General features: G+C 47.7%; 1 annotated feature.

Moving 5' to 3' along the window:
* Positions 3,442–4,083: an enhancer, noted in NCBI's record as "H3K4me1 hESC enhancer chr7:36124605-36125246 (GRCh37/hg19 assembly coordinates)". NCBI's record gives its function as "activates a minimal SCP1, AML or CMV promoter by ChIP-STARR-seq in primed H9 embryonic stem cells {active_cell/tissue: H9 hESC(primed)}" and the evidence as "EXISTENCE:reporter gene assay evidence [ECO:0000049][PMID:30033119]".

Consider the following 13,756-nt stretch of genomic DNA (forward strand, 5'->3'; position numbering starts at 1 on the left):
AATGTGGTTATCAAGGAGTGGGTTTGTCATCATGAGTGAGCTGTTATAAAGGTGAGTTTGGGTCTCTCTTGCTCTCTCTCACCCTTTCTTTGCCCTTCCTCAATGGGATGATGTAGCAAGAAGGCCCCCACTAGATGTGGGTCCCCCAACTTTGGACTTCCCAGCCTCCAGAACTGTAAGAATACATTTCTTTTCTTTATAAATTACTCAGTCTGTGGCATTTTGTTACAGCAGCACAAAACAGACTAAGACATCCCCATCCCAGGGTTGGTTGGAAAGCCCCAGCCCTGTCCCACCAGGTCACAGTTCTCTTTGGTCACTAAGAATGCTCCTGATGCCTGCTTTGTTTCCTGGGACACGGGGAGACTTTCTTTTCCTGGTCCATTCTTACAACACAGGGCAGGGTTTCTATTTTTGTTGTAGAATAGCCTGTGCACAGGGCACAGCATTTTAATTCCTCAGCTAATAATTTGATTCCTCACCAATAATACTGCCAAGCAGTAAGTTTCTTTTTTAATGTTGTCATTTGCTGGTTTTTTGTCATGAGACCTCAAGGAACACAGAGGGACACTCTTTTTAGCCATCTGAGGGCTGGATGAATGGCTTTAGCTGCCAGCGCCTGCCCAGCTTTGTTTCCACTCTGCCCCTGGAAGGGAATCGCCCAGCAGGCTTCATCTCTGCCTCTGACCCTCCCACTCTTGTTCTGGAGCCTGCTCTTTTTGGGATCCTCCCGAAACCACAGGATTTTTCCAACGCAAAGGGAACCTCCACCTGGGAAGCACCAGAAGCCCTTTCCCTTCACCCATCCTCCTGGCTCCTCCTTCTTCCAGTTCCTGAATCCAACTCTTCATGAAGCCAGGAAGGTCGCTGCCCACCTTTCCTGTCCTTCCCCTTGGCCTGCCCCAAGTGGGTGGAGTGGTGAGATAATAACTGCAGCAGCCCAGCTTCCAGGCATGGCTTTTTAATGTTTCCGAGGCACTGAGCAAAGTGCCCTCAATGCATTATCCCAGTCAACACTTAGCCCATTTTACAGAAGAGGAAAATGCAGCCCAGAGAGGTCATAGATGGGTTCCCTGGGCTCCAAGGCATTGAAACTCCAGCGGGGTCGATGAAAGGGCAGGGGGCACTGGAGATTGGTGCTTTGCTTTTTAGACTTTGATGAGGGTTCAACAGGAAATGGAAAAGAGTGGGGCAGAAAAGCATGACCCTGCAGGGGCTTCACACTGCTATGGCGGTGGGGCCTCAGTTACCTATCTGTCCGGACTTCTGGGAAAACACCTACACGGGCATGGGCAGGGGGTTCGAGAGTTGTCTGAGGCACTCCAAGGCTGGAGGCCCTCATTGGTGCACAGGAATCAGGTCAGGGCATGGCGAAACATATGGCACCGACACTGTTCACCAGACACACATTCTCCTCTTCCAGGTTGACCAAATTTTCCCTGCTTGCAGCAACAAGGAGCTATAACAAGAAAGAAACACCCAGACCCTAGAGCCAACCCATCAACTATACTGTGTGAGCCTAAATCCACCCCTCTCCCGCCCCGCCAGAGTAGATGACAAACCCCCATACTCCTATCCCTCTGGTGTCCCTGTACTGCCCCCGATGGCCAGCTGCTTCTCCTGACTGAAGATGCTTATCTTTTTAGTGGTTTGGTAGGACTGGGGCTTCTGGCCATCCATTATTCTGCAGAATTACTAAATCCATTTTCTAATTCCCAGAGAGCTTGGCAATGATATCTTATTGATTTGATTATTTCCCTCCCTGCTGCTGACTCCCTCTTTTTACAACTTATTTTTTTTTAAGATGGGGTGGGGGGGGTCTCACTTTGTCGCCCAGGCTGGAGGGCAGTGGTGCGATCATGGCTCACTGCAGCCTCGACCTCCTGGGCTCAGGTGATCTTCCTACCTCATCCTCTAGAGTAGCTGGAACTACAGGCACTAGCCACCACACCTGGCTATTTCTTTATTTTTTGTAGAGACAAGATCTCACTATGTTGCCCAGGCTGGTCTCCAACTCCTGAGCTCAAGCAATCCTCCTGCCTCAGCCTTCTAAAATGCTGGGATTACAGACATGAGCCATCATGCTGGGGCTGGCTCCCTCTTTATCTGTGAGAACAGAAAGCGTACGGATGGATTGGTGGTTGGTGCCACCCAAACCCCTGATCTCTCCACCAGCTCCACCTTCTCAGTTTTCTTCAGTGCAGGATTCCTGGGGTGGAAACCAGCCAGCGTGTCTGGATGGGCCTGCACGCCCCCTCCAAGTCCATTCATTGAACTAACTTCTGGTCTGGGCTGGTCAGTGCGATTCTGAGAGTCCTGCTCTCAAAGACACAGAAGAAGGAGCAGAGCCAGTCCTCACCCTTTTCCCAGGGAATTTTGGGGCAACTTAATGGCAGTGGATATTTTTAGGGAGGGAATGTCAATAAATATTAGTAATTATGATTGATATTAATTAGGATTGAGTTGTGGGACTATCAAAATGACTTGGTGGTGATTTCCCTCGTGGCAATAGAAATGCCTTTAGTGGAAGTGCATTTCTCTTCCACTCTGGAAACCTCAGAGTCAAAATCCCAGCAAGGGAAAGGAATTTCACAGTGGCATGCCTGGGCAAACTGATGGGCGAAAATACCATCAGCGCCATGTGCTTAGAATGAAAGCCCTCACCCACAGTCGTCTGGGGGTTAGGATCCAGCCCTGGCTTAACAATGTGTAACTTCTCGGTGATTGTGGAACTCGGAGAAATTACACCCGTCATTTGATATCAATTACTATTCCAGCCTTCTCAGTTGAACTAAACTCCTCAGAACAGAAGATCTCCAGGTCTGTGGTAGTTTCTGCTACTTTAGGCTACTTTTTTGGGTGGGGCAGGGGGGCAAGATGAGGACATTCACAGCAGCCACTGTTCTTCTTTGTTCCAGTGATAGCGACACTGCAGCCATCTCCAGGGAACCAGTGGCCTGTTTGCTGTGTGTGCTTCCACACTGGCCTCCCACGTGCCAGCTGGTGTTACCTGCGTCGCTCACTCCTGCTGCTGGAGTGGCTGCGTCAGCAGGGGGAGCTGAGAGCAGTAAGTGGCTGGAACAGCCCAGGGAAGGAGGAGATCCCTGGGAAGCAAGATCGGAGTTCACGTGGAGGACGCTGGAACCACAGAAGCATGTGTGTTTGTGGCAACCTCACGGCTCCACTGCTGGAGTTAATGATCCATGAGCAAAACACTGAGCCCATCCACACTGGCCGCTGGCGGATGGACACCGCCATGCTAGATCTGTGCGGTCGCCCGGGGAGCACCGGGCCATTCCTAACAAGCGTGCAGTCGAGATGCAGACAGGAAGGCCAAGGGAGGGAGAAGGGGGCTTCAGCACACGGCAGCGCGTGGCCCCTGGGCCCGACCCCTTCTCCGGCAGCGCAGCAGTCCTCCACCTTGTCTTGCTAATTCCCAGCCACTGCCCCGCCTCAGGTCATCCTCCTGGCGGTCAGAGTGACCTACTCGACTGGCACTTCTGGTGTGTAGGAATCTCTGGTAGATCAAGTTAAAAGGCAGATTTTGAATCCCTGGATCTGGGGTGGGGCCTGAAATTCTGCATTTCTGAGGGGCTCCCAGGTAAGGCCAAGGCTGCTGGCCGGCTGAGGAGTTAACAGTGTGTGCTCTGGAGTCACGTGGATTCCTGCTTGCCAGTAGCGCGCCTTGGAAAGTCACCCCGCCTGGCTCTGCCATTTCCTTCTCTGTACATACAGTGTTGTCTGCGGTGAGGGTGACACAGCTGAATAGGCACAATGGGCCGGACCAGTGCCGGGCACGCGGTGCATGCGAAGTCAGTAGTTATAACTGCTCGTCTGTGCTGCAACCCTGCAGTGCACCCTTCGCCTGCACAATAAAATCTACCATCAGCCACCACCGTGCCCTGCCCTCCCGTGCACCAGTCACCCTGAGCATTGTACGGGAGTTCTGGAAAGGAGCAGAGTTTTCTCAAATGCAGAGTTGCCCTTGATTTTGAATGCCGTTCTCTCCCTGATCCCCCCAGCAAAGTCCTCCTCCTTCTTTTGGGCTCTGAGACCTCCAGAGCCACCTCCAGGAAGCTGAGAAGACAGGAAGTGTTTTTACTCTTTTCCATTCCCAGTTTTGTACATCACCTGACGTATACTAGGTTTTAATAAATGGTGAAAGAATGAATGAAACAACAAATACTTTAGGTCTTTCTTCTACAACTTCTTTGGCTGTGTTCTACCTAGAGAGGCTGAATCTTGACTGCTCATCAGTGCTTTTTAAGAAATCAAGGCCAGGCGCAGTGGCTCACACCAGTAATCACAGTACTTCGGGAGGCCAAGTGGGGAGGATTGCTTGATTGAGCTCAAGAGTTCAAGACAAGCCTGGGCAACATGGTGAGACCCTGTGTCTACAAAAAAAAAATTTAAAAATTAGCCAGACACAGTAGTGTAGTCCCAGCTACTCAGGAGGCTGAGGCAGGAGGATTTCTTGAGCCTGGGAGGTCAAGGCTGCAGTGAGCCATGATTGTGCCACTGCACTCCTGCCTGGGTGATAGAATGACACATTGCCTCAAAAAAAAAAAAAAAAAAAAAAAGGAAAGAAAGAAGAAAAGAAAAATAGAAACATTCACTTCCTAAAATACTGCCTCAACATATCTCATTCCAGACCTATTTTAAGAGGTGAGTCTCCAATGTGGACTTTTATTTAGCAAGAACATTTGCTTGTTTATTTACTTGTTTATGTAGTTATGTCAGTATGACTTTATACATTCTTATTTTATTCAATGCTTTATAATCCATTACTATCACTATTCATTTTCATGCTCAAGTCATCCCAGACTTAGCTTTCAAGCTGGTTCTTGTGTCCTTTTGACATATCCCCATTGGTCTTTGACTAATTCCTTGCTTTTCTGTGCAATTAGACAACCCAGATTCATTTCATGGGATGTGTATTTTTGACAAAGCACAATAGATGATTCCAGTGCACACCTGGGTTTGGAAGGCATTATGCCAACAAGTAGCCTCAAATCACTAATAGGGCTAGCTCTGATTTCAGAGCCAGAACCAGTAGCAAAAGGAAGAGGGAGGTTCTTAGACAGGAGCTGGCTAAAGAGAGCTCAGTGTTCCCTAAGCCTCCTGGAAGCATCCCTAAAGATGGCTGGCTCACAGGCCTGGGGCACAGGTGACTCAGGTTCCCAGGTGTCACCTGCTTGGCCAGTTACAAGTGGCAATTGCCTGGCAGTGCCCAAGGCAACAACTGAGGAAAGTGGGGATGAAGTGACACAGAGAAGGACTTTCTGGAGTAGAATGTGTTTCCCAATAGGTGGAGAGAAGTAACTTCACCTGCCTGCATGGGGCAGTGATGGTCATGAGGCTTAGGAGTGCCTCCTAAGGAATCAACTCCAGGATGTTTCCTGGGAAAGAAGAGGCTGGTGGCTTTTAGCGACAAACTGCATGGTTTTCCTCTGAAGGAGGTCAGTGGTATCACGAACAACTTGCACTAAACAGCACCTTTCTTCCAAAGAACTCAAGGTACTTTCACAAATGGTTTTCAAATAATTTTTAATGTGAAAGCATTTGTAAAGCTGGAATCAGAGATGAAAAAAATGTTTTTAAAAGACTTACAAATCTCTGGACTCTGTAAATCTAAAATTATTCCAAAATTAGGTCTTTAAAAAAAGACAATCATTTACAATGCCGTGGTAGCAAAAATTATGCCCTCCTTCATCCAGATGTTCCTAGAATTTGTAAATATGTTGCCTTAAATGGCAAAAGGAATTTTGCAGATATAATTAAGGATTCTTTTTTTTTTTTTTTTTTTTTGATACAGGGTCTTACTCTGTCATCCAGGCTGGAGTGCAGTGGAGCCATCATGGCTAGTGAGCCATGATGATTAGCTCTCTCTACCTCCCAGACTCAAGCAATTCCCCTGCCCCAGCCACCTGAGTAGCTGGGACTGCAGGTGTGAGCCACCACACCCAGCTAATTTTATTTTATTTTATTTTATTTTTATTTTTTTGTAGAGACAAAGTCTCACAATGTTGCCTAGGCTGGTCTTGAGGTCTTGAACTCCTGGGCTCAAGTACTTCTGCAGCCTTAGCCTCCCAAAGTGTTGGGATTATAGGCGTGAGCTACCACATCTGGCCTTTTTTTAATTATTAATTTTTTGTTATTGTTGACTGGGTCTCACTATGTTGCCCAGGCTGGTCTTGAACTCCTGGGCTCAAGCAATCCTCCTGCCTCAGACTCCCAAAGTGCTGGGATTACAAGTGTGAGCCACTGCACCCAGCAAAACTAAGGATCTTGAGATGAAGTGACGATTATCCTGAATTATCTAAATGTGTCTGATGTAATCACAAGAGTCCTTGTAAGAGGGAGGCAGAGGAAGTAGGAGATTTGATGATGGAAGGAGCGAGAGATAATTATTGGGAGATGCTACCCTGCTGGCTTTGAAGATGGAGGAAGGGGCCATAAGCCAAGTAATGTGAGCAGCCTCTGAAACCTGGAAAAGGAAGGAAAAGGATTCTCCCCTAGAGCCTCCAGAACCATGCAGCCTGATATGGTTTGGATATTTGTCCCCATCCAAATCTCATGTTGAAGTGTATTCCTCCATGTCAAAGGTGGGGCCTGGTGGGAGGCGTTTGGGTCATGGGGCCGATCCCTCACAGCTCAGTGCTTTCCTCACAATAGTGAGTGAGTTCTCTCGAGATCTGGTTGTTGTAAAGTGTGGCACCTTCTCTCTCCCCACTGTCTCTCTCACTTCCACTCCTGCCTGTTCCCCCTTTGCCTTCTGCCATGATTGGAAGCTCCCTGAGGCCTCCCCAGAAGCAGATGCTGGTGCAATGCTTCCTGTACTTCCTGTAGAACCATGAGCCAATTAAATCTCTTTTCTTTATAAATTACCCAGTCTTAGGTGTTTCTTTATAGCAATACAAGAACAGATTAATACAGAAAATTGCTACTGAGGAGTGGGGCATTGCTATAAAGATACCTGAAAACGTGGAAGTGGCTTTGGAATTGGGTAACAGGCAGAGGTTGTTGGAGTTTGGAGGGCTCAGAAGACAGGAAGATGAGGGAAAGTTTGAAGCTTCTTAAGAGACTGGTTAAATGGTTGTGACCAAAATGCTGATAGCGATATGGACAGTGAAGGACAGGCTGGTGAGGTCTTACATGGAAATGAGGAACTTATCAGAAACTTAAGCAAAGGTCATGTGTGTTATGCCTTGGCAAAGAGCTTGGCTGCAAAGTGTTCATGCCTTGGGTATCTGTGACAGTTTGAACTTGAAAGTGATGATTTAGGGTATCTGGTGGAAGAAATTTCTCAGTAGCAAAGCATTCAGGGTGTGGCCTGTCTGCTTTTAACAGATGCCCAGATTCAGGCGCAAAGAAATGACTTGAATTTGGAATTCATAATTAAAAAGAGAGTGTAATTAAAAAGCAGAGTGTAAAAGTTTGAAAAATTTGCAACCTGGACATGTGGCAGAGAAAGAAAAAGCATGATCAGAATAGGAATTCAAGCAGGCTGTTGAGCAACCACTTGCTAGCAAGATTTGGATATCTAAAAAAGAGCCAGGTGCTGATAAGACAACATGAAAAAGGCCTCAAAGGCATTCCAGAGATCGCTGAGGCAGCCCTTCCCTTCACAGGCTCTGAGGCTTAGGAGGGAATAATGGTTTCTGGGTCAGGCCCAGAGCCCCGCTGCCCTGCCCAGCCTTGGTGCACTGTTTCCCACATCCCAGCTGCTCCCCTTCCAGCCATGGCTCAATGCGGCCCAGGTACAGCTCAGGCTACCATTTCAGAGGGTGCAAGCTATAAACCTTGGCTGCTCCCACATGGCATTAAGCCTGTGGGTGTGCAGAGTGCAAGAGTGAAAGAGACTTGGCATCCTCCACCTAGATGGGAGTGTATGAGAAAATCTGGGTGCCCAGGCAGAAGCCTGTTACAGGGGTGGAGCCCTCATAGAGAACTTCTACTAAGGCCCCACATACAGAGTCCCTATTGGGCCACTGACTAGTAGAGCTGTGAGAAGGGGGTCACCATCCTCCAGACCCCAGAATGGTAGATACACCAGAAGATTGCACTCTGTGCCTGGAAAAGCCTCAGGCATGCTCCAACCCATGAGAGAAGCCTGAGGCACTGAACCCTGCAAAACCACAGGAGCTAGCTGCCCAAGGCCTTGGAAGCCCACCCCTTGCACCAGTGTTCCCTGAATGTGGGGCATGGAGTCAAGGATTATTTTGGAGCTTTAAGGTTTAATGACTGCCCCACTGGATTTCAAATGTAAGGTTTAATGACTGCCCTACTGGGTTTCAAACTTTCACGGGGCCTGTAATCCCTTTCTTTTGGCCAGTTTCTCCCTTTTGGAATGGGAATGTTTATCCAACACCTGTACCCCCATTATATATTGGAAGTAAATAACTTGTTTGATTTTACAGGCTCATAGGTGGAAGGGACTCATCTTCAGATGAGATTTGGGACTTGGACTTGGGACTTCTGAGTTAATACTGGAATGATTTAAGACTTTGAGGGACTGTTGGGAAGGCATGATTATATTTTGCAATGTGAGAAGGACATGAGATTTGGCGGAGGCCAGCGGTGGTATGATATAATTTGGACATTTGCCCCCACCAAAATCTCATGTTGAATTGTTATCCCCAGTGTTGGAGGTGGGGCCTGGTGGAAGGTGTTTGGGTCATTGGGGCTGATCCCTCATGGTTTGGTGCTATCCTCAGGATAGTGAGTGAATTTTCTCAAGATCTGGTTGTTGTAAAGTATGGCACCACCCACCCCCCGCCAGCTCCCACTTTCACCATGTGAGATGCCTGCTCCTCCTTTACCTCCTGCCATGATTGTAAGTTTCCTGAGGCCTCCCCAGAAGCAGATGCTGGTGCAATGCTTCCTGTACAGCCTGCAGAACCATGAGCCAATTAAACCTCTTTTCATTAGAAATTATCCAGTCTCGGCTGTTTGTTTATAGCAATGCAAGAACAAACTAATACACAGCCTGACTGACACCTTGATTTTAAGAACCATTTTGAACTTCTGACCTCCAAAAGTGTAAGATAAGTTAACTTACACTTGTTTTAAGCCACTAAGCTTGTAGTAATTTGTTACAGCAGAAAAACTAATACATTAATTTTAAAAGTTCTTTTATAATCTCCCCACTATTTTTCTATTGACCAGCTTGCCTTTTAATCATGTCCTATTCCCTTTTCTGAACCATATTTCATAAACTGTTAAATGAAAATGCAGCTGTAACCAAAAATATTCTATTTCTTCCCCCACCACCCACCTTTTTGTTATTACCAATATTTGTTTAGCTGAGGGTTCCTATTTTACATAAACCTCATCCTCTTCCTAGTATCCCTGGAGCTTTTACCGAGTATCTTCTACTCTTCTTTGCTTGAATGCATATACAAATGGGCATTCCTTTGTGCCAGCGCTGTCAGCATTCCCAAACGCAGACTGTCAGCTGTCTCCAAGACATTCCTCTATGGATGGAGCATGGATCTCCTGCTCCACAAAAAGCTGTCCTGCTCTGCTGTGGGTAAATGGGCCCAGAAATGAAATTACTGGCATCCCAGACTTGATCCTGAAAATGATTCATAGTTTGAAATCCACTTCTCCTGTTCACACATAGCCATGCAGAAGCCACAATGACAGTGACATGTCTGGCATGCCCGACAGCATATTGGCTCTGGAGAAATGCCCAGTTGAAGCCCTGGGTAGGCATTTATTGTTCATGAGGTCTACATTCTTTGTTTTTTTTTTTTTTTTTATAGAGGGTTTCACTATGTTGCCCAGGCTGACCTTGAACTCCTGGGCTCAAGTGATCCTTCTGCCTTAGTCTCCCAAGTAGCTGGGACTACAGGTGTGCATCATTGCGCCTGGCTAATCTACATTCTATGTCATCCACAGATGCCCTAATTTCCCATTTACCCATCAGAGGCTTAGAGACTTCCCTGCCCAGGGGAGGAATGGGCTTCAAACTAAGCAAATCAGTATGCAGAGCAGCCCTAATTAAATTATACTCCTGTGGCCAATCCCACACTACAGAATAAACTATATACCGCTCATCAAATCATCAACTTGCACGTGAATGTACAAAGGACAAATAAACATAATATGCCTCCCATATTCACTTCCAGGCCCCCCACGCTAATGGCTGGTGAAACCTTAGCCAGGTGGGGCTGTGAGGAATGTTTCATCCCTTCCCGTTGACAGTGTCTTCTTTCATTCTATTGATTGTCTGTGGCCACACTTCCTTGTCGTCCTCCAGTCTGTCCTAGATGGCTCACCCCCTCTGCTGGGGCTCCAAATCCAATAGCAGACAAGGCTTCTTTCTGGCTACAATTGCTCAAAGGTCATAACTTCCAGGTCCCGTATTCAGGAGCCTTAGCTCTCCTGGTTGTTATAGGCTACTGCATGAGTCTGTGCAGATGTAGATGCTGAGATGAGAACTCTGTAAAGTTGGCAGCCCAGAGCCCTGAACCAGCCCCATGCTCTGTGATGCTTCCCCACCCCAACCATCCCATCTGTCTCACTTGTGTTGTATCTCTAGGAAGAAATTTCTTGTCCTTAGATTTATGTTGACAAAAATTTCCACGCTGAGTACAACTTGGAAAAGGGCCTGTGGAGAAGAAATAATAGATTCTGTGCTATTTCTTGTGTTTCGACACGAAGCCTGTCCTGGAATCACCTGGAGGACGTACACAAACACACAGTGCCTGGGCTTCAACCGGGACCAAGCAAACCTGAAGCCGTTGGGGTGGAGGCAGACACGGACATTCTCATAAAGCTGCCCAGGCAACTTTAAAGAGAGCCAGTGCTGAGAGGCCAGTGCAGGGGCGAAGTCTGGGGAGGGCAGAGATGTCCAAGAGTGGTGAGGTGCAGGGGCTCCCCAGCCTGGAAAGGCACTCGGATGAAGCTCCCCCCAGTTCAGCTCCCCTGGACTGCACCCTCATCCTCTGCTTTGCTCCCAGCTCCGGGCGGGCAGCCCTGGTTCTCATGACTTTGTCTCCTGCTCCACCCACCCCTTTACATAGGTGACCTTGTTTTCCTTCTGGTTCTGGCTTCAGATATGACTTATCAGCACAGTTGCACATGCAGGTTCCTGCCCGACCAGCCCCCACCCCAACCCAGCCTCCCAGAATCCTGCAAGGCAGCCCAGGGTTACTGCCCGGGGCAGCCTCCCGCTTAACTGGGAGGGAGAACTCATGAGATTGTGGATCATTTCCCTCAGAACCTCAAGGACATCTCGATGAACCTGCAAGGCCTAATAGATAGGAAGAAAGCACGAGGGGTTTGTTGAATGTGAAAACAAACATAAACTCAAAAACCTAATTTAAATCATTGATTTCAACTTGATCCTCTACCCAAGCCCTTACCAAATGTGCTATCAAGTGGCTAATATGATTGCTCTGGACTTCTTTTGAAGATATGTCACCAAGGGGGAAAGAAGACATGGGGTGGGGGCTGGTGTACACAGCAGCTGTGGGTTACTGGGAGAACTGGAGTCTTTTCTGAATTAAATACAAACATTTGAAGGTGCAGGTTAAGTGGGGACGGTGGAGTTAGCTGTAGGTTCTATCAAGGTCCTAGCTCTTGTTCTGGGTGATGGTCTTGCAGTCCTTATTACATTAAAGAATGAAGCAAAAAGCCTAATCAGGTAACAGCAGGCCAGACGGGGACCAATGATTTCAGTGTGCTCTGAAGAAAGGATGGTGATGAATCCATATGCCAGTTTTGTGGACCTGAGGTGCAGAAAATGGAGCATGGGAACACACTGCAGTAGTCCAGGTCCCAAGTGGCCATAACAAAGTCTTTGCTGAGGGGTAGAGAGAGGGGCTTTGATATGGTTTGGATCTGTATCACCACCCAAATCTCATGTGTAATTGTAATCCCAGTGTTGTAGATGGGGCCTGGTGGGAGGGGATTGTATCATGGGGGTGGATCCTTCATGAATGGTTTAGTACAGGGGTTCCCAACCCCTAGGCCATGGATGGGTACTTACTGTGTTAGGAACCTGGCCACACAGCAGGAGATGAGTAGCAAATGAGAGAGCATTACTGCCTGAGTTCCACCTTCTGTTAGATCAGTGGTGGTGTTAGATTCTCACAGGAGCTTGAAGCCTATTGTGAACTGTGCATGTGAGGGATCTAGGTTGAGAATCTAATGCCTGATGATCTGAAGTGGAATTGTTTCATCCGGAAATCATTCCCCGCCCACCCACCAGTCCGTGAAAAAATTGTCTTCCACAAAACTAGTCCCTGGTGCCAAAAACGTCGGGGACTGCTGGTTTAGTACCATCCATTTGATGCTGTTCTTGTGATAGAGTTCTCACAAGATCTGGTTGTTTAAAAATATGTAGCACTTCCCCTCTCTCTCTCTTCCTCCTGCTCTAGCCATGTGAGACATCTGGCTCCTTCACCTTCTGCCACGGTTGTAAGTTTCCTGAGGCCTCTCCAGAAGCAGAGGCTGCCATGCTTCCTGTACAGCCTGCAGAATCATGAGCCTAGTAAACTTTTCTTTATAAATTACCCTGTCTCCGGTATTTCTTTCTTTCTTTCTTTCTTTTTATTTTGTTTTTTAAGACAGTGTCTCGCTTTGTCGCCCAGGGTGGAGTGCAGTGGTGCCATCTCGGCTCACTGCAAGCTCCGCCTCCCAGACTCACACCATTCTCCTGCCTCAGCCTCCCTAGTAGCTGGGACTACAGGCACCCGCCACCACACCTGGTTAATTTTTTGCATTTTTAGTAGAGATGGGGTTTCACCATGTTAACCAGGATGGTCTCGATCTCCTGACCTCATGATCCGCCTGCCTCAGCCTCCCAAAGTGCTGGGATTACAGGCGAGGTATTTCTTTATAGTAATGTGAGAACAGACTAATATGGGGTTCCTCCCATTTGGCACCACCATGTCAGCTGGAGGGGAACTGGCACGAGGTTTGAACGATGTGGCCTCTGTCAAGCTGGCTGTGTCTAGGGAGAGCTTCCAAGCTGCATGCGTCAAGAGGAGGCATGCATCTGTGCCTGCAAGAAGCTGGACGGAGGCTCCAAGGCCTGAGTGACTGTGTCCTGCAGAAGTTCGCCCCAGTTGGCAGGCCCATTTAGGGGGGACATGGAGAAGAAGGTGCCAGCAGGATGGGTTCAGACGTCCTGGTGCTCTCGCTGCAATGGCTTCCATGCCTGGAGCACTCAGAACAGTCTTGGCTGAGCATTTACAGACATCGTCTCATTTCCTCCTCCCAACCCACACAGAAGCCAGGTGTTTTGGGTCCAGAATTGTATACAATTTGGGGAGCCTTTTTTGAAAAGGAACACATATGAGCTAATACAAATAGACTGAAATAAGAGGAAAAAAATAAAATAATTTCTTTAGAAAGGAAAAGGAACACCAACTTACCAACATGAAATTAGATACAAAAGCAGGTCTTTAGAAGTGAGGGCTACCTAAGCTTTAGCTTCATTCACTTTGCAGTACATTTCGCTCTGGGGACAAGTATCATCACCCCCATTTTAAAGGTCAAGAAATTGAGGCACAGATTGGTGAAGCGATTCACCCAATGTCAGACAGTGCGCAACGAATTAGCTAGGATTGTATCCCAGATCTGTTTAGTGTCACCCAAGTTAGTAGTAACACCCAATGACCTCTGATGGCGGTGGTGATGGGTGCCTCTGTTCTAGAAAGAATGTGTATCTAATTTGCATCATAAAGTGATTGATGCCATCAGCTGTGTTTATGCCATCAGTTAGTCTGTATTGATCCAGGGC

This window comes from Homo sapiens, chromosome 7 (assembly GCF_000001405.40).
Source record: "Homo sapiens chromosome 7, GRCh38.p14 Primary Assembly".
NCBI classification, from domain to species: Eukaryota; Metazoa; Chordata; class Mammalia; order Primates; family Hominidae; genus Homo; species Homo sapiens.